Genomic DNA, 20,880 nt, shown 5'->3' on the forward strand with positions numbered 1-20,880 from the left:
AGCGATTCTCCTGACTCAGCCTACCAAGTAGCTGGGGATACAGGTGCATGACCCCATGCCCAGCTAATTTTTTTATGATATATTCATTTATTCAGATTACTCGATAATTAAAAATTATATTTTCTATGAATACCAGCTAATTTTTTGTATTTTTAGTAGAGACAGGGTTTCACCCTGTTAGCCAGGATGTCTCCTGACCTGGTGAACTGCTCGCCTTAGCCTCCCAAAGTGCTGGGATTACAGGTGTGAGCCACCATGCCCAGCAGCTTTTAAACATTTTAGGAAAGCATGAGACATCAATCAATATGTATAAGATCTTCCTTCCCTACCTTTTTCCTTCTCCACCTCCTCCTTCCTCTCTCTCTTTCTTGGTTTGATCCAGTAATGCAGGACAACTTGAGGTGAGGGCTTCCAGGTCATAAGTAAATAAGAGATAAAAGTCTGGATTCTTGAGTCCTTGATAAGCATTCAACTGAATACAATTTAGTCTGGCTCAGTGAACCTGCATATCTAAATTAACAGCAGTGCAGAGGAAGCAATCAGATGTGCATTTGTCTCAGGCGAGGCTCAGAGAAATGACTCTGAGTTCTGTCTGTCTTTGGTTCTCAAGGAATTTCCTTGTTGGCTAATTGTAAAGAAAGTATGTAGCTTTTTTATCTTTGTAGCTATCTTATTTAGAAATAAAATGGGAGGCAGATTTGCCTGACATAGTTCTCAACTTGACTTTTCTAGTGGCTTAGTAATTTTGGCATCAAGAGATTTATTTTCCTTTAGCAGTGGAAACCTCTTTCATTATCAAGTGTAGAGGTTAATAAAAAAAACTCATAAACACAAATATAATTATTGCTACATCTTTCAGAATAGCCCATTCTAAATTTTTTTTTTTTTTTTTGGAGATACAGTCTCGCTCTATTACCCAGGCTGGAGTGCAGTGGTGCAATCTCAGCTCACTGCAACCTCCGCCTCCTGGGTTCAAGCAATTCCCCTGCCTCAGCCTCCCGAGTAGCTGGGATTACAGATGTGCGCTACCACACCTGGCTAATTTTTGTATTTTTAGTAGAGACGGGGTTTCCCCATGTTGGCCAGGCTGGTCTCAAACTCCTGACCTCAGGTGATTCGCCCGCCTTGGCCTCCCAACGTGCTGGGATTACAGGAGTAAGCCACCGCACCCAGGGTAGAATAGCCCATCCTAATTTAATTCTCATTTACTCTAGACTTTTTTCATAATTTTATAGTGGATCTTAATGTTGGAGGCATTCAAACCAGAGCAACTCAATCTTGAATAGCAGCTGTGTGAAATATGCTGAAACCTACTTGGCTGCCTCCCCAGGTTAGGCATTCTTAGTCACAGGATGAGATAGGAGGTCAGCACAAGATAAACAAGATACACTGCACTTAGAAATTTGTCGTAATCTTCTCTGTTAGCAGGGTGCAGGCAGAAACACAGAATCACATATTTAGATCATGGATGCAGAGATATGTCACAAAGCTCCTGTGGTTAGGGTCAAGAAAGGAGCTTCCCACCCCCTAGATGTTGGTCTCAGCAATATATCACAATACCCAAATTATGTGAGACCCAGGCAAAAAGGAGAGTCACATCACCTAGGTGCTGGGTCCAGTGATATTTCACAATTATCCTTTGTAGCAGGTTCTAGTCAAAAAAGGAGAGTCACAACATTTAAGTGATGAAGAAAAAAGAATATGTCATAATACCTTTCTGAACAGAGCCCATTCAGGAGACTCATAATACCTAGGTGTTGGACCCAGCCATATATATCACAATACAAAATGTATGCAGAGATCAGGCAAAAAAAAAAAAAAAAAAAAAAAAAGAGATCACATAACCTAAGAGCTGGGCCCAGCTACATATCACAAGCACCCCAGTGGACAAGGCCAAAACATGAGAGAAGAGTCACATCACATAAGTGCTTGACTAAGCGATATGTTACAGTCCAAACTGTGAACACATCCCAGGAATAAGAGGAGTCACATCATCTAAGTAATGGGCCCAGAGATATGTCAAAGTAACTCCTGTGGAGAGGAACCAGGCAGAAGAATCACATAGCCTGTGTGCTAATCGCAGCAATAAGTCACTCTCTTTTATGGGAGCATGGCCATAGCAGGAAAGAAGGGTCAAATTATTTGGTTTCTGGGCTCAAATATATGTCACAATCTCTCCTATAGGGAAAAGCCAAGTAAGAAAGTCACATTATATGGATGATGGGTTCACAAATATGTCACTATGCCCACTATGGGCAGGGTTCAGGCAGGAGGCTCACATTACCTTAGTTCTGGGCCAAACAATATGTCACAATGCCTGATGAGGAAAGTGCTGAGGAAAAACGTAACTTCATTTTTGGTGTTTAGCCCAGCAGTATGTCAAAATCTACATTGTGAGCTGAATGTAGGTAGAAAAAGAAGCATCACAACAGCTAGGTGCTGGCCCAGTGATAGGTAACAATTCTTTCTGTAAGCAGCAACCTGGTAGAAAGAGAGTCACATTACTTGGGTGATGGATGCAGATAGATTATAATGCTTCCTGCAAGCAGGATCCAGCAAGGAAAGTTACATCACCTGGATGTTGCACATAGCAATGTCACAATGGCCCATGAAGATAGGGCACAGGCAGAAGAGTCACATAACCAGGGTGTGGGGTCCAGTGATATGTCACAATGCCCCCCTGTGGGCAGTGCTGAGGCAAAAGTACAGAGTCACACCACCTAGATGTTGGATTCAGCAATGTGTCACAATCCGATCTGTGCACTAGGCACCAGGCAGGAGAGTCAAATCACTCAGGTGCTGGGCAAAGGTGTATGTTACAATCACAGTCACAAAAAAATGTAGGAATGAACAATCCCACACATCCCATTTCTTAGTATTAGAGTCAACACATGTTGTATGTTGAGTCCAAGTACACAAGTCACAATCTCAACGGTGGACTGGATACATCCATGAGAGCCTCAATCTTTGCCGTGGACTGTGTCCCCTTAGTGGAGTCACAGCCTCACAGGTATGCTGAATCTTGGTTTGAGAGTCACCAGCCCACGTGTGAACCGAATCCACGTTTGAGAGTCAATTTTCCAACCACCTCCAGGTGTGAGATTCAGAACTTCAACAGTGAGCTGTGTTCATGTGGAAAGTTGTCAATTTTCACTGTTGGCTGGGTTTGCATACGAGTGTCACAATGTCACCTGGGTGCTAGGCCCTGTTATAGAACTCTCTATACTACCTGAGGGCTTTATACAATATCCATGATGGTCACAATTTGCTCTGAGACTTTTTTTTCTAATACAAACTCATAATCATACCTGTGGACCTAGGCTCATGCATTAGAGTCAACATCTCTCCAATTGGCTGGGTCTAGAGAAAAGAGTTCTCACCTGCCTATGAGCTAGGTTTAGAAATGAGTCACCATCTTAACTGTTGTCACATGATTACATATGACAGTCACAATTTTTACTGTGGACTCCATTCACGTGTGAAATTCGTGTGAGGGTGACAATGCTAACATTTGGTAGGTTGTGCATTTGAGAAACAGTCTCACCTGTGTGCTTGGCCCTATGATAACACTCTCTGTACCGTCCAAAGACTTTATACAAAATGTGAAAGAATGGTAATCCAGGACTTTACCTGTTTCTCTAAGTCTAGCTACCAGCACCAGTATCTCTGCTATGGACTGGTTTGTGGTATGAGTATCATCATCGCAACTGTGAACTGGGCTAAAGTGTATGTCACAATCTAACCTGTGAGTAGAAAGTAAATGGGAGAGTAACATCACCTGCATGCTGAGTCGGAAATATGTCACAATTTTTCAGGACAAGGACCAGGCAGGAGAGTCATATTACCTGGTTGCCTGTCCAGGGTTATGTTACAATTCCTTCTCGAAAGCAAGGCACAGACAACAAAGTCACGTTACTTGGTACTGGACCCAGCTATGTCACAATTCTCTCTGCAGGCAAGGCCTGGGCACAAGAAACACAGCACCTGGTTGCTGAACCCAGAGATGCAACACAATCTTTCTCTGGGCATGGTGCAGATGGAAGAGGAGAGTCACACCTCCAAAGTAATGGATGCACAGATATGTCACAAGGTGCTTCCCACAGACAGGGCCCAGGCAAGAGCTCTTTACCCATTTGGTTTGAGCCACTGATGTGTCATAATACCCACAATACAAGGGGCCCAGGTTAAAGAGAGTGATATCACCTAGATACAGAGTCCAGTGATATGTCACAATCCTCCCCTTTTACAGGGTTCAGGTAGAAGTTACATCACTTAGGTGATAAACAAATGACATGTCATAATTCCTCTATTAGCAGGTGAAGAGAGTCCCATCACCTAGGTGTTGGACTAGCCATATTTTAATATATACAATACACAATTCACCAATACCTAGGTGAAACAAATTGTGTATATTGAAATATGGCAGGGTCCAACAACTAGGTGATGTGACTCTCCTGCATGGGCCCTGCTAATAGGAGAATTATGACATTATCTTTCTGTTTATCACCTAAGTGACGTGACTCTCCTTTTCTAACTGAAACCTGTAGTAGGAGAGGAGAGTCACATCACCAAGGTGCTAGGCCCAGTGAAAAATCACAATCCCTGGCCAGGCATGGTGGCTCACACCTGTAATCTCAGCACTTTGGGAGGCAGAGGCTGGTGGTTCACCAGGTCAAGAGAACGAGAGCATCCTGGACAACGTGGTGAAATCCTGTCTCTAATAAAAATACAAAAATTAGCTAGGTATGGTGGTGCATGCCTGTAGCCCCAGCTACTTGGGAGGCTGAGGCAGAAGAATAGCTTGAACCCGGGAGGCAGAGGTTGCAGTGAGCTGAGATCGTGCCACTGCACTCCAGCCTGGCAACAAAGTGAGACTCCATCTCAAAAAAAAAAAAAAACAATAAAATAAAAAAATCACAATCCCGCCTTGGGCAGAAACCAAGCAGTAGACGAGGGTCACATCACCTTGTTACTAGGTCAAAAAATATGGCACAATATTTTCTGAAAAAAAGGGGACCGTGCAGCACAGTCACCTCATCTAAGAGAGGGCTCCAGAGATATGTCAAAATGCCCTATGTGGGTAAGGCTCATAAAGAAGAGTCACATAACCTAGGAATTGAGACTAGTTATATGGCACAATCACCCCAGTGGGCAAGACTGAGGCATGGAACAAAATTCAGATTATGTAGATCCTGAGAAAAGTGGTATGTCAAAATCTCCACTGTGGACAAGTTTCAGAGACAAAAGGAGAGTCATATAATCTAGTTTATGGGCCCAGGCAAATGTCATAATGTCCTCTCTGGACAGGGACCAGGCAGAAAAATCACATAACCTGTGGTCAGGGCCTAGTGATACGTCACCCCCTCTTCTGTGGTCAGGGCCCAGGCAGGAGAGAAGAGTGAGATCATGTAGGTGCTTGGCACAGATATGTTACAACGTCTCCTAGGGAAAAGCCCATGTAAAGGTGAAGAGTAACATTAAATAGATGGGTCCAGAAATATGGCAAAATGTCCCCTGAAGCCAGGGTCTAGGTAGGAGATTCATATCATCTGGGTGTTAGATCCAGTAATATGTTACAATAGCCCATTTGGGCAGGGCACAGAAAGGAGAAACACATTACCTGGGTGCAGGGACCAGTGATATGTCACAATGCCCTCTGCGACAGCACCAAGGCAAGAGTATAGGGTCACATGATCTACATGCTGGGTCCAGCGATATGTCACAATCCCATCTGTGTACTGGGCCCAGGCAGGAGAGTCAAATCGCTCACATTCTGAGCAGAGGTATGTGTCACAATCACACCTGCAGAAAGACCCAGAAATCAGATAAAACAGTTCTTCACGTGTCTTCATTCTAGGTATGAGTCAATACCATTTGGATATTGGGTCTAAGTACACAAGTCACCATCTCAATGTAGATGAATCCATGCATAACAACCTCAATCTCTTCTGCGGACTGTGTCTCTTAGTAAAATCATAGCCTTGGCCAGGCGTGGTGCCTCACACCTGTAACCCCAGCACTTTGGGAGGCCAAGGCAGGTGGATCACCTGAGGTCAGGAGTAGAGACCAGCCTGGCCAACATGGCAAAATCTCATCTCTACTCAAAATACAAAAATTAGCTGGATATGGTGGCGGGCGCCTGTAATCCCAGCTACTAGGGAGGCTGAGGCAGGAGAATCACTTGAACATGGGAGGTGGAGTGAGCCAAGATCATGCCATTGCACTCCGGCCTGGGCAACAAGAGCGAAACTCGGTCTTAAAAATAAAAAAATAAAACAGCCTCACAGGTGTGCTGAATCTTGACCTGAGAGTCACCAATCCATCTGTGGACCAGATTCACCTATAAGAGTCAATTTTGCAATTTTCCACTGCCTCCAGGTGTGACATTCAGAGCTTCAGAAGTAGGTTATGTTTATGTTAAGGGATGACAATATTTACTGTTGGCTGGTTGCGCATATGAGTATAACAATGTCACCTGTGTGCTGGGCCATGTAAGGGCACTCAGTGTATTACCCGAGGGCTTTATACAATATACAGGAGAGTCAAATCCACTCTGAGATCTTTGTGATTGTATAAAACCATGATCGTACCTGCGGCCCTAGGCCCAGACTGGGGCAGGTGGATCATGAGGTCAGTAGTTCAAGACCAGCCTGACCAACATGGTAAAACCTTATCTCTACTAAAAATACAAAAAAGCCGGGCATATCCCAGCTGCTCAGAAGGCTGAGGCAGGAGAATCACTTGAACCTGGGAGGTGGAGGTTGCAGTAAGGTGAGCTCGTGCCACTGTACTCCAGCCTGAGTGATAAGGGAGACTCTGTCTCAAAAAAAAAAAAAAAAAAAAAAAAAGATACACAAAACACAATTTCATCTGTGTTTTTGGCTTGTGATGACACTCTGTGCCACCTGAGAGCTTTTTATAATATCTGAGAGAGTGGTAATTCTCCATGACCTTTGCAAAAAAAAAGGAAACTTAGAATCATGTTTGTTTTCTCAAGCCTAGCTAGGCAAGGTGTATCTCTTTTATTGCCTGGTTCAAGGTATGAGAATCATCATAGTAATTTGTAAGCTCAGGCAAAATATATGTGACAAGGGCCGGGAAGGTGGCTTACACCTGTAATCCCAGCACTTTGGGAGACCGAGGCAGGCGGACCATGAGGTCAGGAGATCGAGACCATCCTGGCTAACACGGTGAAACCCCGTCTCTACTAAAAATACAAAAAACTAGCCAGGCATGGTGGCAGACACCTGTAGTCCCAGCTACTTGGGAGGCTGAGGCAGGAGAATGGCATGAACCCAGCAGGTGGAGCTTGCAGTGAGCCGAGATTGCTCCACTGCACTCCAGCCTGGGCGACAGAGCAAGATTCCGTCTCAAAAAAAAAAAAAAAAAAAAAAAAAATATATATATATATATATATATATATGTTACAATGTTACAATTACACCTATGGGTAAAGAGTGAGCAGGAGAGTCACATCACCTGGGGCTGGTCTAGAGATATGTCACAATCTTTTTTGAGTGCAAGGACGAGACAGGAGAGTCACATCACCTAGGTGCTTGGGCAGGGATGCCTTAACATCTCTTCTTGTAAGATGGGCACGGGCAGCAAGTTACACCACCTGGGTGCAGGGCCCAACAATATGTTACAGTGCTCTCTATGAGCAATACCCTGAGAGGTGAGACACATTATCTGGTTGCTGATCCCAGTGGTATGTTACAATGTTTTTGGGGGGCATGGTGCATGTAGGTGAGAAAAGTCACATATTATAATTGATGGATGTCAAAATATGTCACAAGGCCCCCTGTGGGCAGGCCCAGGCAGGGACCTCCCATCCCCTAATGTCAGACTCAGTAATATGTAACAATACCCAAAATATGCAAGGTCCAGGCAAAAGATGAGAGTTACGTCATCTAGGTGCTGGGTCCAGTGATACATCACAATCCTCTTTTGGCAGGGTGCAGGCTGAAGAAGAGTCACATCACCTAGGTGATGAATGAAAAGATATGTCATAATACTCTCGTGACCAGGGCTTATGTAGGAGACTCCTTGGTGATAGACCCAGGTACATGTCACAATATGTATGCAGGGGCCAGGCGCAGTGGCTCACGCCTGTAATCTTAGCACTTTGGGAGGCCGAGGCGGGCAGATCACCTAAGGTCGGGAGTTTGTGACCAGCCTGCCCAACATGGAGAAACCCTGTCTCTACTAAAAATACAAAATTAGCCAGGTGTGGTGGTGCATGCCTGTGATCCCAGCTACTTAGGAGGCTGAGGCAGGAGAGTCGCTTGAACCCAGGAGGCAGAGGTTGTCATGAGCCGAGATTATGCCATTGCACTCCAGCCTGGGCAACAAGAGCGAAACTCTGTCTCAAAAAAAAAAAAAAGGATGCAGGGCCCAGACAAGAGAAGAGTCCCATCATGTAGGTGCTGGGCCCAGTGATACATCTAAATCTTTTTTTGTTCAGAGTCCAAGCAGTAGAGAAGAAGTCACATTACCTAAATGCTGCATCCAGCAACATGTCACAATACCCGGATAAGGAGAGCCCAGGCAGAAAAGTCACATCACCTAGGTGAAAGGCCCAGGGGTATTTCCTAGTGCTACTTGTTTGCAGAGCTCAGGAAGAAGACAAGAGTCAGATAACGTAGGAGCTGGTAGCACAATCACTACAGTGGGCAGGGTCTAGCTATGAGAGGAGAGTCACATCGCATGGGTGCTGGGCCAAGCGATATCTCACATTTCTTACTGTGGACAGATTCAGAAATAAAAAGGAGACCTATTATTTAGGTGATTGGCCCAGAGTTATGTCACAATGACCACCTGAACAGGGACCAAGCATAAGAATCACATCACCTGTGTGCTGGGCCAAACAATAAGTCACTCTCTTTTCTGTTAGCACAACCCAGGCTCAAAGATATATTACAATCTGACCTATGGACAAAGCCCAGATAAAAGAGGAGAGTCAAATAAAATAGTTGATGAGCTTAGATATGTGTTAAAATGTTTTCTGTAAGCATGGTCCAGGCAGGAAACTCACATCACTTGGGTGTAAAACCCAGCAACATGTCACAATGTCTTATGTGAGCAGGGCCAAGAAAAAAATAGAGTAACATCACTTTGATGCTGGGTTCACCAATATTTCACAATCTTCCCTGGAGGAAAAACTAAGAAAAAAAAATCAAATCAGCTATGTGCTGCAAAATGTCACAGAACTTCCTGTAAGCAGAAACCAGGTAAGACAAGAGAGTCAAATCACCTGTGTGACTGGTGCAAAGACATTTCAAAATGCCACCCCTAGGCAGGGTCCAGGCATAAAAGTTATATCACCTGGCTGTTGGACCCAGCAATATGTCACAATGGCCCAAGTGGCCAAATCGTAGGCAGAAGACTCACATGTCAGTGCAGGGCCTAGCAATATTTCATAATGTCTGCTGCAGGCAAAACCTAAAACCAGGGAAAAATCCCATCAGGTAGGTGCTGGGCGTAGCAATATGCTACAATGTTCCTGTAAGCAGGGACCAGACAGAAGAAGACTGTCACATCACCTGGATGCTGGGCCCAGAGATATGTCAACCATCATTTCTGTAATAAAGACCCATGCAGAAAAAACACAGCATCTGGTTGCTGGCCACAGCAATGTGCCTCAATTTTCCCTGTAGGCAGGGTGCAGGCAGAAGAGGAGAGTCACATCTCCTAGTTGATGAATGCAGGGACATGTCACAATGCTCCCTGTGGGAAGGGCCCAGGTAGGAGACTTCCGACCTTTAGGTGTTCAGCTGAGCATTATGTCACGATACACAAATATGAAGGGCCTAAGAAAAATAAGAGTCACATCACCTTGATGTTAGGTCTCTGTGAGCAGAGACCAGGCAGGAGAAGAAAGTAACATTACTGGTCAGGCGCGGTGGCTCACACCTATAATCCCAATACTTTGGGAGGCTGAGGAGGGTGGATCACTTGAGGCCAGGAGTTCGAGACCAGCCTGGCCAACATGCTGAAACCCCATCTCTACTAAAAATACAAAAATTAGCTGGGTGTGGTGGCACATGCCTGTAGTCCCAGCTACTCAGGAGGCCAACGCAGAAGAATCACTTGAACCTGGGAGGCGGAGGTTGCAGTAAGCCAAGATCACAACATTGCACTCCAGCCTGTGCAACAGAGTGAGACTCCGTCTCCGAAAAAAAAAAAGAAAGTAACATCACCATGGTGACGGGCATCATTGAGTTACATCACAAAGCTCCATGTAGGCAGGGTCCAGAGAAAAGGTGTTACATCCCCTGGGTATTGGACCCAACAATATGTAACAATTTCTTTTTTATTTTTATTTTTTGAGACAGAGTCTCGCTCTGTCACCCAGGCTGGAGTGTAGTGGCGCATCTTGGCTCTGCAACCTCCATGTCCCGCAATTCTCCTGTCTCAGCCTCCCAAGTCACTGGGACTACAGGCACACACCACCATGCCCGGCTAATTTTTGTATTTTTAGTAGAGACGTTTCACCATATTGATCAGACTGGTCTTGAACTCCTGACCTCAGGTGATGCACCCGCCTCAGCCTTCCAAACTGATGGCATTACAGGCGTGAGGCCACTGTGCCCGGCCTTATATGTAACAATTTGTTGTTGTTGTTGTTGTTGTTTTTTGAGACAGAGTCTTGCTCTGTTGCCCAGGCTGGAGTGCAGTGGTGTCATGTCGGCTCACTGCAACCACTGCCTCCCAGATTCAAGTGATTCTCTTGCCTCAGCCTCCCAAGTAGCTGGGATTACAGGCATGCGCCACCACACGTGGCTAATTTTTGTATTGTTTTAGTAGAGATGGGGTTTCACCATGTTGGCCAGGCTGGTCTTGAACTCCTGACCTTAACTGATCCACTCATCTCAGCCTCCCAGAGTGCTGGGATTACAGGCATGAGCCACCATGCCCGGCCATATGTGACAATTTCTAATGTGACATATTGTGCCATAATATGGCACAACATGTAGGGCACAGGTGAGAGAGTCACATAACATGGGTGCAGGATTCAGTACTATTTTACAATACCCAAAATTTGTGAGGTCCCATAAAAAGAGGAGAGTCATATCACCTAGGTGCTGGGACCAGTGATATGTTACAATTTTACCTTTGGGCTGGGACCAGACAGGAAACTGAAATCACTCAGGTGCTGGCCAATGTCACAACCACACCTGCAGAAAGGTCCAGTGATCAATTAATCCCGTACAGGTCCCAGTTCTAGGTATGAGAGTCACCACATTCTCTATGTTGGGTCTAAGTACGCTAGTGACAATTTCACCAATGAATTGAACCTGTGCATAAGAGCCTCCATCTCTCTTGTGAGCTGTGTTCGCTCTGGCCCTCAGCCCAGGTATGAGTCAACATGTCCTCAGGAAGGTAGACTTCTCATTGGTTCAGATTGAAAAATTCTCACCTATGAACTAGATTTAGAAATGAGTCATTTTTCAAACTCCTGCGGAATGTTCACATATAACAGCCACAATTTTAACGGTGGACTGTGTCTGTGCATGAGATTCAGGACCTCACCAGTGGGCTCCATCACTGTGTGAGGGTGACAATTCTAACGGTTGGTGGGGTGGGCAAAGAAGAAACACAATCTCACCTGCTTGCTGAACTCTATAATGACACTCTCTGTACCACGAGAGATTTATATAGTATTCAAAACAGTGGTAATTTGGCTGGGCACGGTGGCTGGCGCCTGTAACCCCAGCACTTTGGGAGGCCGAGGCGGGTGGATAACCTGAGGTCGGGAGTTCTAGACTAGCCTGACCAACACTGAGAAACCCCGTCTCTACTCAAAATACAAAATTAGCCAGGCGTAGTGGCACATGCCTGTAATCCCAGCTACTCAGGAGACTGAGGCAGGAGAATCGCTTGAACCCAGGAGGCGGAGGTTGCAGTGAGCCAAGATCTCGCCATTGTACTCCAGCCTGGACAACAAGGGCAAAACCCTGCCTCAAAAAAAAAAAAAAAAAAAAAAAAAAAGTGGTAATTCTCAGTTGGGCATGGTAGCTCATGCCTGTAATCCCAACACCTGGGGAGGCCGAGGTGGGTGGATCACCTAAGGTCAGGAGTTCAAGAGCAGCCTGGCCAACATGGCAAAATCCTATCTCTACTAAAAATATAAAAATTGCCCAGGAGGCGGAGGTTGCAGTGAGCTGAGATTGCACCACTACACTCCAGCCTGGGCAACATAAACGAAACTCCATCTCAAAAAAAAAAAAGTAATTCTCTATGACATTTGTACAAGAAAGAGACCCAGGATAATACTCATAACCCTAAGCCTAGCTATAAGAGGCAGCATCTCTCTTACTGGCTGGTTGAGGGTAGAAGAGTCATAATTGCACCTGCAAACTGGGCCAAGCTATATTTCACAATCCCACCTGTGAATAGGGAGAGAGGAGTCGCATCACGTGCGTTTTGGGTCAGGAATATGTCACAGTCTTTTCTGAGGGCAGAGACCAGACAGGAGTATCACATCACCTGAATATTTAGCCAGGAATATGTAACAAACTTCCTCTGAAAGCAGGACACAGGCAGCAGAGTCACATCACCTGGGTGCTGAGCCCAGCAATGGATAACAATGCTCTCTGTGGTCCAGGCCCAGGCAGGAGAGACACATTACCTGAGTCTAGTGATAAGTCAAAATTTTTCCTGTAGGCAGAGTGCAGGCAAAAATGGAGAGTCACTCTCCTAGGTGATTGATGCAGAGATATGTCACAAGGCCCTCTGTAGAAAGGGCCTGGGCAGGGCCAGACACGGTGGGTCACACCTGTAATCCCAGCACTTCGGGAGGCCGAAGCAGGTGGATCACGAGGTCAGGAGTTCAGACCAGCCTGGCCAACATGGTGAAACCCCATCTCCACTAAAAATACAAAAATTAGCCGGGCATGGTGGCAGGCACCTGTAATCCCAGCACTTCAGGAGACTGAGGCAGGAGAATCATTTGAACCTGGGAAGCGGAAGTTGCAGTGAGCCGAGATCGCACCACTGCACTCCAGCCTGGGAGACAAGGCGATTCTCTGTCTCAAACAAACAAAAAAAGAAAAAGAAAGGGCCTGGGCAGGAGCCTCTTATTGTATAGGTGTTAGACCTAGTAACATGTCCTAACGTCCAAAATATTCAGGGACTAAGGAAAAAAGGAGAGTCACATAACCTGAGAGCAGGGCTTAGCAATATGTAACAATGCACCTTGTGGACAGTGCCAAGGCAAGAAAAAAGACTCCCATCACCTCAGTGAAAGGCCCAGCTATGTGTCACAATGCCATCTGTGGGCAGCACCAAAGCTGGAAAAAAGTCACATCTTCAAGGTGCAAAGTCAAGCGATATGTCACAATCTCCATCTGTGGGCTGGGCCAAGGCAGGAGTCAAATCACTAAGGTGCTTAGTAGATGCATGCAATCTTACCTGCAGGAAAGTCCAGGAATGAGATTAGAAATTCCACACATGTCCAGGTTCCAGGTATGAGGGTCAACACCTCCTGTATGTTGGGTCTGTCTAAGTACGTGAGTCACAATCTCAATGGTTGACGGTATTGCAAGAGAGCCACAATTTTGTCTGCGGACTGTGCTTTTCAGTGCAGTCACAGCCTCACATGTGTACTGAATCTTGGTCTGAGAGTAACCAACCCACCTGTGGACCAGGCCCGCATATGAAAGTCAATTATCCAACTTTTGACAGCCTCCGAGTGTGAGATTCAGAAATGTTCCTAAGAGGCCGGGCGCGGTGGCTCACGCCTGTAATCCCAGGACTTTTGGGAGGCTGAGGCGGGCGTATGACCTGAGGTCTGGAGTTCGAGATCAGCCTGGCCAACATGGTGAAACCCCATCTCTAGTAAAAATAAAAAAATAAATAAATAAAAATTAGCCGGGCCTGGTGGTGCGCACCTGTAATCCCAGCTAATCGGAAGGCTGAGGCAGGAGAATCGCTTGAACCTGGAGGCGAGGTTGCAGTGAGCCGAGATCGCGCCACTACATTTCAGCCTGGGCGACATAGCAAGATTCCCTCTCAAAAAAAAAAAAAAAAAAAAAAAATTAACAACAGAAACTGAAGACCCCAGGGCCGCAGCTCCTCCTGCGCACACACCGAGTCGGGATTCTGCCCCGATCATCCGCCGGGCATCCCTGAACAATCTGGGAAATACTCGGGGCTGCTGGTGCAGAGCTGACCAGAGAGCTCCAGACAGGGTACCGCGCAGGAATGGGGCGGGACGCGGGAGGCTCGGCTGCGGGCCCAGCCGCCATCTTGCGGCCAGAGGGGCCTGGGGCGGAGCTGCGCCAGCGACCAGGACTCAGGAGCGGACTGTGAGGAGGCCGGTCCCGCCACTTTCACAGCCTGCTCTCCCCTCTCGGGATGCCTAACCCCGCACACTCACCATTTCCCAGCTTCCAGGATGTCCGGGCATCTTAGCTGTGCGTCTCCCAGGACTTGCAGATCACAGGGTAACGGAGGCTGCGACAAAGTCACCGGGGATTCCCGAGTTGGAGAACGCGGAAAAGCAGAGGCGGGTCCCAAGGTCTAGCGGGAGCTGGAGACAAAGGCCCCGCCAAAAGCCGGAAGCCACGGCCCCCTCTCCAACTGCGCGTCTGATTGGGTGGTTCCCACGCCAGCGCCACTGATTGGATAAAGCTCCAGGACCCACCCTCCCTAGCGTTTGCGCATTTTATGGACAGGGAAACAGGCTCAAGTAGGCGGGGCACATGCCCAGGGAATTACAGCTAATCAAGTGAGCTGAGCCTTGAAATGCACTTGCTTTTTTCCTTCCCTGGGTCAGCTTGTATAGTGCATCTTAGTAGCTACTGAAGGGGAAGAAACAGAACATTTGGATACCCTTTTAACAACTTTTTAATTATGTTGACAATGCAGCAAAGACCCTCGTCCCATCCCTGAGGGTCTCTCTCACCGTGCTGTACCACACTGCTGTACACATCTTGGGATGACCATTAGGAACGGGGAAGCAGCTGGGGCTAGGGATAGATAAACATGAATTATGTTGCCTAAATTTGCTCATTTTAGAAAAACATCTAAACCAATCTCTGTGAAGTGGCTATTATCAGGGTAATTGTGCCCTGACTGTGCTACATCTCAATCTGACTTCTCTTTTTTTAAAATAACTGCATTACTCTCATTAACGGGGTTATTTCACTTTCTATTGGAAAATCGCCAATTGTCCTCTGTAGGTGTCCTGATGTAATTTGCTAGTTTAGACCCTGGAGGTAGGGATAAGAAAATACTTGAGCTACATCAGAACACCTAACTCAACTGGAGGATATATAGAAATTCCTTAATAATATCTAACAGTTTTCTCAATACCCATTATATTTAACAGTGATAGCTTGGAGGGCTGAGAGGTGAAACAGATGACACAACCTTAGAAGTTCACTTTTGTTGCCGGCGTGGTGGCTCACGCCTGTAATCCCAGCACTTTGGGAGGCCGAGGCGGGCGGATCACGAGGTCAGGAGATGGAGACCATCCTAGCCAACATGGTGAAACCCCGTCTCTACTAAAAGTACAAAAAAATTAGCCGGGCGTGGTGGAGCATGCCTGTAATCCCAGCTACTCGGGAGGCAGAGCCAGGAGAATCCCTTGAATCAGGGAGTTGGAGGTTGCAGTGAGCCGAGATCGCGCCACAGCACTCTAGCCTAGCGACAGAGCGAGACTCCGTCTCAAAAAAAAAAAAAAGATTGTCTTCATCCAAGCCAGTTTCCATTTCTTGGACACACATTGCTGGTCAGCCAATCAGATGCTGGTATTGAGGTGAAAACAGAAACGATTTCTGCCTCTGGATTCTCTGAGATTCGTGGGAAAAATGGTATCCCTAAAAAACAAAGCAAGACACAAAAACCTGACCCCGGTGAGATGGTGCAAGAACTTGCAAAGTAAAATGCACTTGGAAACTCCCTGGGACATAGTGCAGTGTCTCCTGAGAGGTCATAAAAGAGGTGGGTTTCAGAAAATAAATCTAATCACGCATTCCATTTGTTTAAAATTCTCATTTACCCTTTTTTTTTTTTTCCTGTAAGGTGTGTTTTTTATGGCTGAGTGAATTTCAAACAGAATTCCAAGGCTTATCTTTTAAAATGCTACCAAAGAAAAGAATAGGTAAAATATATTTTCCGTTTTGGCTGTAAAAAATGCATACATTAAAAAAAAAGTGGTAGATAATGGGCAAGTTACAAGATTCGCAAAAACATCAGTTCCTCTTTGTGCAGGGTAAATTTGTGACATTGACTATACCTGTTCTACATCCTGTTATCTTGATTTCTGGGTTTAATGTCAAATTTTGTAAGATGAAACTTGGAACCTACTAAAAGTGTTCCCATATGACTAATTACTACATGATTTTTAATGGAAATAATATAATAACACACTTATTGTCTGAAAGGAATAGATACTTTTGCTTTTCTTACTGAGGTATGAAATGTAAGCACCTTAAAATTTCCTCTTTTTTTTTGTGGCAGAGTCTCGCTCTGTCGCCCAGGCTGGAGTGCAGTGGCACAATCTCGGCTCACTGCAACCTTTGCCTCCCGGGTTCAGGCAATTCTCCTGAGTAGCTGAGATTACAGGTGCCTGCCACCATGCCTGGCTAATTTTTGTATTTTTAGTAGAGATGGGGTTTCGCCATGTTGTTCAGGCTGGTCTCGAACTCCTGACCTCAGGTGATCCACCCTCCTTGGCCTCCCAAAGTGCTGGGATTACAGGCATGAGCCACCGCACCTGGTCTCCTTTTTTTATATAAACACTGTTTGGGTAATTTCGCTGGATTTTTCAAACACTTAAACTTCCAAAAACCAAGTGAATAACTCTGACATGGAAATTAAAGCTTGCACCCAGTGACTCCAAGCTAAAGCTAATATTGATCCTGCAATAGGAGGTTATTAAAGGCCCAGTTTGTTCTTCCTTGGGAGCTTCCTGGGCAGATGTCCAAGTCCTGAAAGAAGACTATATACTGAGAGAAGCTACAGAGCCCTGGAAAGCTGGGGACCCACAGGCAGATGCATTTAAGGTTAAGATGGAAGGGGACTGACATACTCTTTTTTTTTTTTTTTTTTTTTTGTGAGACAGAGTTTTGCTCTTGTTGCCTAGGCTGGAGTGCAATGGCGCCATCTCGGCTCACTGCAACCTCTGCCTCCTGGGTTCAAGTGATTTTCCTGCCTCCTGAATAGCTGGGATTACAGGCATGCACCACCACGCCCAGCTAATTTTCTATTTTTAGTAGAGACGGAGTTTCTCCATGTGGGTCAGGCTGGTCTCAAACTTCTGACCTCACGATCCACGTGCCTCGGCCTCCCAAAGTGCTGAGATTACAGGCATGAGCCACCGCGCCCGGCCTGAAAGATTCTTTTTTTTTTTTTTTTTTTGAGACAGAGTCTCGCTCTGTCACCCAGGCTGGAGTGCAGTGGCACACTCTCGGCTCACTGCAACCTCCACCTCCCGGGTTCAAGTGATTCTCCTGCCTCAGCCTCCTGAGTAGCTGGGACTACAGGCGCGTGCCACCACGCCCAGCTAATTCTTTGTATTTTTAGTAGAGACGGAGTTTCACAGTGTTAGCCAGGATGGTCTCGATCTCTTGACCTTGTGATCCACCCGCCTCAGCCTCCCAAAGTGCCGGGATTACAGGTGTGAGCCACCGCACCTGGCCCCCTGAAAGATTCTTCCTGAAGATAATATTGTTCTTGTTTTGAGGCCGTTTCTAAAAGTTGTAAAATAAAACAGATTTATGTAGAATAATTTAAAATCCAAAGAAGTATTGAAACAGGAAGAAGTACTAATTATAAGAGCATTAAGGATTGCAAAGGATAGGCAGACCAGGGCTTTCTTTCATAGGGAGGAGCAAACAAGATTTAAAGATAAGGTAGGAGGAGAATGGCAAATGGAGAGTGAAAAAAATCAGATTCTGGTTCAGGAGAATCTTAGGAGGGACATAAAATGGGATTGTATTTTGGCTCAGACTGAGGGTAGGGTAGCTTAAAGTTCAGGAGTCTGTGGGAAAGAAATAAACTTAAGTGAGGTTTGATTTAGAAGTAGTTTATTTTGACTGCTGAAGACAAATTTAGCTGATTTTTTAATGAGAACAAGGAGAAAATGTGCAGAGCCTATTTCTGGCTATGTGGTAGCACCCTGTAATTCATAATTGGAAAGGAATTTATGTTCTTCGTCTTTCCCCACCTTTTTTTTATTCTGTACATTTTTTCCATTTCAGTTTTCCTGAGTTGTATCTTATATAATTAACTGGTCACCATAACTGCAGTGTTTTGCTGAGTTCTGTGAGTAGCTCTATCAAATTATTTAACTTGAGGGAGGTTATGGAGGTCCTCACTTTTTCAAAAGTACCTCAGAAGCATAGATAAGCCCGTGGGGTTTGTGAGTGGCATCTGCACTAAGGAAAAACTTATGGAACCGAACCCTGAATCAGGGTCTGTGTTGATTCTGGGTGGTATCAGAATTCAAATGTTAGACAATAGGTTGGTGTTGGAGAATTGCTTGGTGTTCAGCAAACTCTATAGGTTTGCCAGAAAAACAATATAATAGAGACCTGGCCTGGAATAAAACTCTGGGTGTCTGGAAATGGAAAGCTCTGCTCTCCTGTACACAGGCTGTCACACTGCCCATTGTCCTGTGATTCCAGGTCTACTACCAGTATGAGAGAAGACTGAAAACTTAGAAGAAAACTACTTTGGCCAGGCACGGTGGCTCATGCCTGTAATCATAGCACTTTAGGAGGCCGAGGCAGGCGGATCACGTGAGGTCAGGGGTTCAAGACCAGCCTGATCAACAACATAGTGAAACCCTTCTCTAGAAAAATACAAAAATTAGCCAGGTATGGTGGCGGGTGCCTGTAATCCCAGCTACTTCAGAGGCTGAGGCAGGAGCATCACTTGAACCGGGGAAGGTGGAGGTTGCAGCGAGCCGAGATTGTCGTACCTGAGCGAGTTAGCAAAACGCCACACTTTGAGACGAATTAAGAGTCCTTTATTCAGCCGGCGGCCAAAGAGACTGCTAAAGCTCAAAATTCTCTCGGCCCCGAGGAAGGGGCTTGATTAACTTTTATACTTTGGTTTAGGAAAGGGAGGGGAGCTTAAATGCAACAACTCTTCAGAAGTAAAAACATGCAAGAAATTAAAAGGACAAATGGTTACAGAGAAACAAACAACTTAAAAGACAAATGGTTACAAAAAAAGCAAAGGTACCAGGTGCGGGGATCTAAATCCTTCATAAGAGTTAGATATGGGCACTACTCCGGACACAAACTCAAGGCTTTATGGTGTTATCTTTTGAGCAAAATCCTGGGAACTTCATACATGGTTTGTTTCGGTACCTTATCAGTTAATTGAATTCTTTTGATATGTTGAGAATCTGTTTACACAAGTTAACTCCTTGAAGAAGGGGGTGGGTAAGGAGTCCTTAATGTCTTGTAAATCACGGGGGCCAGATGGAGTTCGTCCAGCTTTTCTCAGCTAAGGGAGAGTTTATTCATGTGGAAACAAGTCTAGGTGATTAAGGGAGCAAAAGAGAGAGTCTAAAAACAGGGTTAGTAAAAACAAGGTTGGGCATTATAACACTTGGCTGTAGGGTGGACCCAGTGCACCACTGCCCACAGCCACTGGCTGGCTTCTCAGTTGAGCCACCAGTTTGATCACATATGGGCTGTGAGCTGCAGGTGTTACACTTGGCCACCAGCTCCAAATATTGAAGGTCGACCTTAATATTTAATATCAAACATTTAAATATTTACACGCAGTAGTGTCTCCTAGGTCCAGCAGAGGGCTGTGATCATGGCTCGCTGAGGCCTCGAACCCACTCCCCTGCCCTAGGGCTCGCCCACGTGGGCCTCCCATTTCCCTCTTCTGAGGAGCTGGGGCCCCAGTGATCTTCCTGTGATTTTTTTTTCTAGTTCCACTTCCATTTTCTTTTTGCATCACTTTAGTTGTTGTTTTCCTTTGTTCTCTGTCTCTTTATGCTCCTTCCTGCACACTAAAGTTGTTGTTTTAATTTCTTTCTTTCTTCTTCTTTTTCTTTCTTTTTTCTGAGTGAAGTCTTCTCACTGTCATGCAGGCTAGAGTGCAGTTGGGCAACCATAGCTCCCTGCAGCCTCGACCTCCCTGGTCTCAGGGGTTGCTCCTGTCTCAGCCTCCCAAGTGGCTGAAACTACAGGGATAGCTTGATCACGCCACTGCCCTACAGCCTGGGTGACAGAAGAAAACCCTGCCAGAGGGAGATGGGGGGTACAGTTAATTAGGATCTTATTTACCTTTGTTCACTCCGTTAAAAAAATTTTAATATTGTTTGTTCTTTCTTTGTCACTTGTTACTGTTTGTTTTTATTATTATTATTATTTATTTTTATTTTTAGACAGGTTCTCACTTTGTCACCCAGGCTGCAATACAGTGGTGTGATCTTAACTCACAGCAGCCTCAACCTCCCAGGTTCAAGCAATCCTCTCATTTCAGCCCCCACACTCCCCAGTAGCTGAGAGTACAGGCACACACCACCCGCCACTGGCTAACCTTACTTTGTGATTTGTACATTTTATTTTTGTAGAGATGGGGTTCTGTCAGGCCTCTGAGCCCAAGCCTGCACATATACATCCAGATGGCCTGAGGCAACTGAAGAACAATGAAAGAAGTGAAAATGGCCAGTTCCTGCCTTAACTGATGACAATCCACCATTGTGATTTGTTCCTACCCCACCCTGACTGATCAATTAACCTTGTGACATTCCTTCTCCTGGACAATGAGTCTCAGAAGCTCCCTTACCGAGCACCTTGTAATCCCCCCCACCCCGCTGCCTGCAAGAGAAAAATTCCCTTTGACTGTAATTTTCCACTACCTACCCCAATCCTATAAAACTGCCCCACCCCTATCTCCCTTTGC

At 45.7% G+C, this 20,880-nt stretch overlaps 1 protein-coding gene across 14 annotated transcripts in view, besides 1 other annotated feature; it reads right to left on the bottom strand.

Moving 5' to 3' along the window:
- ZNF43 (zinc finger protein 43) overlaps positions 1 to 14,541 on the bottom strand; it is a 47,120-nt gene extending 32,579 nt beyond the window's left edge. For 2 of the 14 annotated variants that reach the window (XM_047439316.1, XM_017027212.3), the window contains exons 1-3: positions 14,381 to 14,541; positions 13,414 to 13,836; positions 7,868 to 7,982 (exon numbers count right to left, since the gene is read on the bottom strand). Coding sequence is in view for 1 of the 14 variants with exons in the window: in NM_001256653.2 (NP_001243582.1) it covers positions 14,381 to 14,410 (30 nt within the window). In the remaining 13 variants the exon portion in view is untranslated. Of the gene's footprint in view, positions 1 to 329; positions 5,803 to 7,867; positions 7,983 to 13,413; positions 13,837 to 14,380 lie in introns of all 14 variants that reach the window. The other 12 variants (NM_001256651.2, NM_001256653.2, NM_001256649.2 and 9 more) reach the window with 11 other exon arrangements.
- Positions 20,193 to 20,693: an enhancer, noted in NCBI's record as "H3K27ac hESC enhancer chr19:22040519-22041019 (GRCh37/hg19 assembly coordinates)". NCBI's record gives its function as "activates a minimal SCP1, AML or CMV promoter by ChIP-STARR-seq in naive H9 embryonic stem cells {active_cell/tissue: H9 hESC(naive)}" and the evidence as "EXISTENCE:reporter gene assay evidence [ECO:0000049][PMID:30033119]".

Source organism: Homo sapiens, chromosome 19 (assembly GCF_000001405.40).
Source record: "Homo sapiens chromosome 19, GRCh38.p14 Primary Assembly".
NCBI lineage: Eukaryota > Metazoa > Chordata > Mammalia > Primates > Hominidae > Homo > Homo sapiens.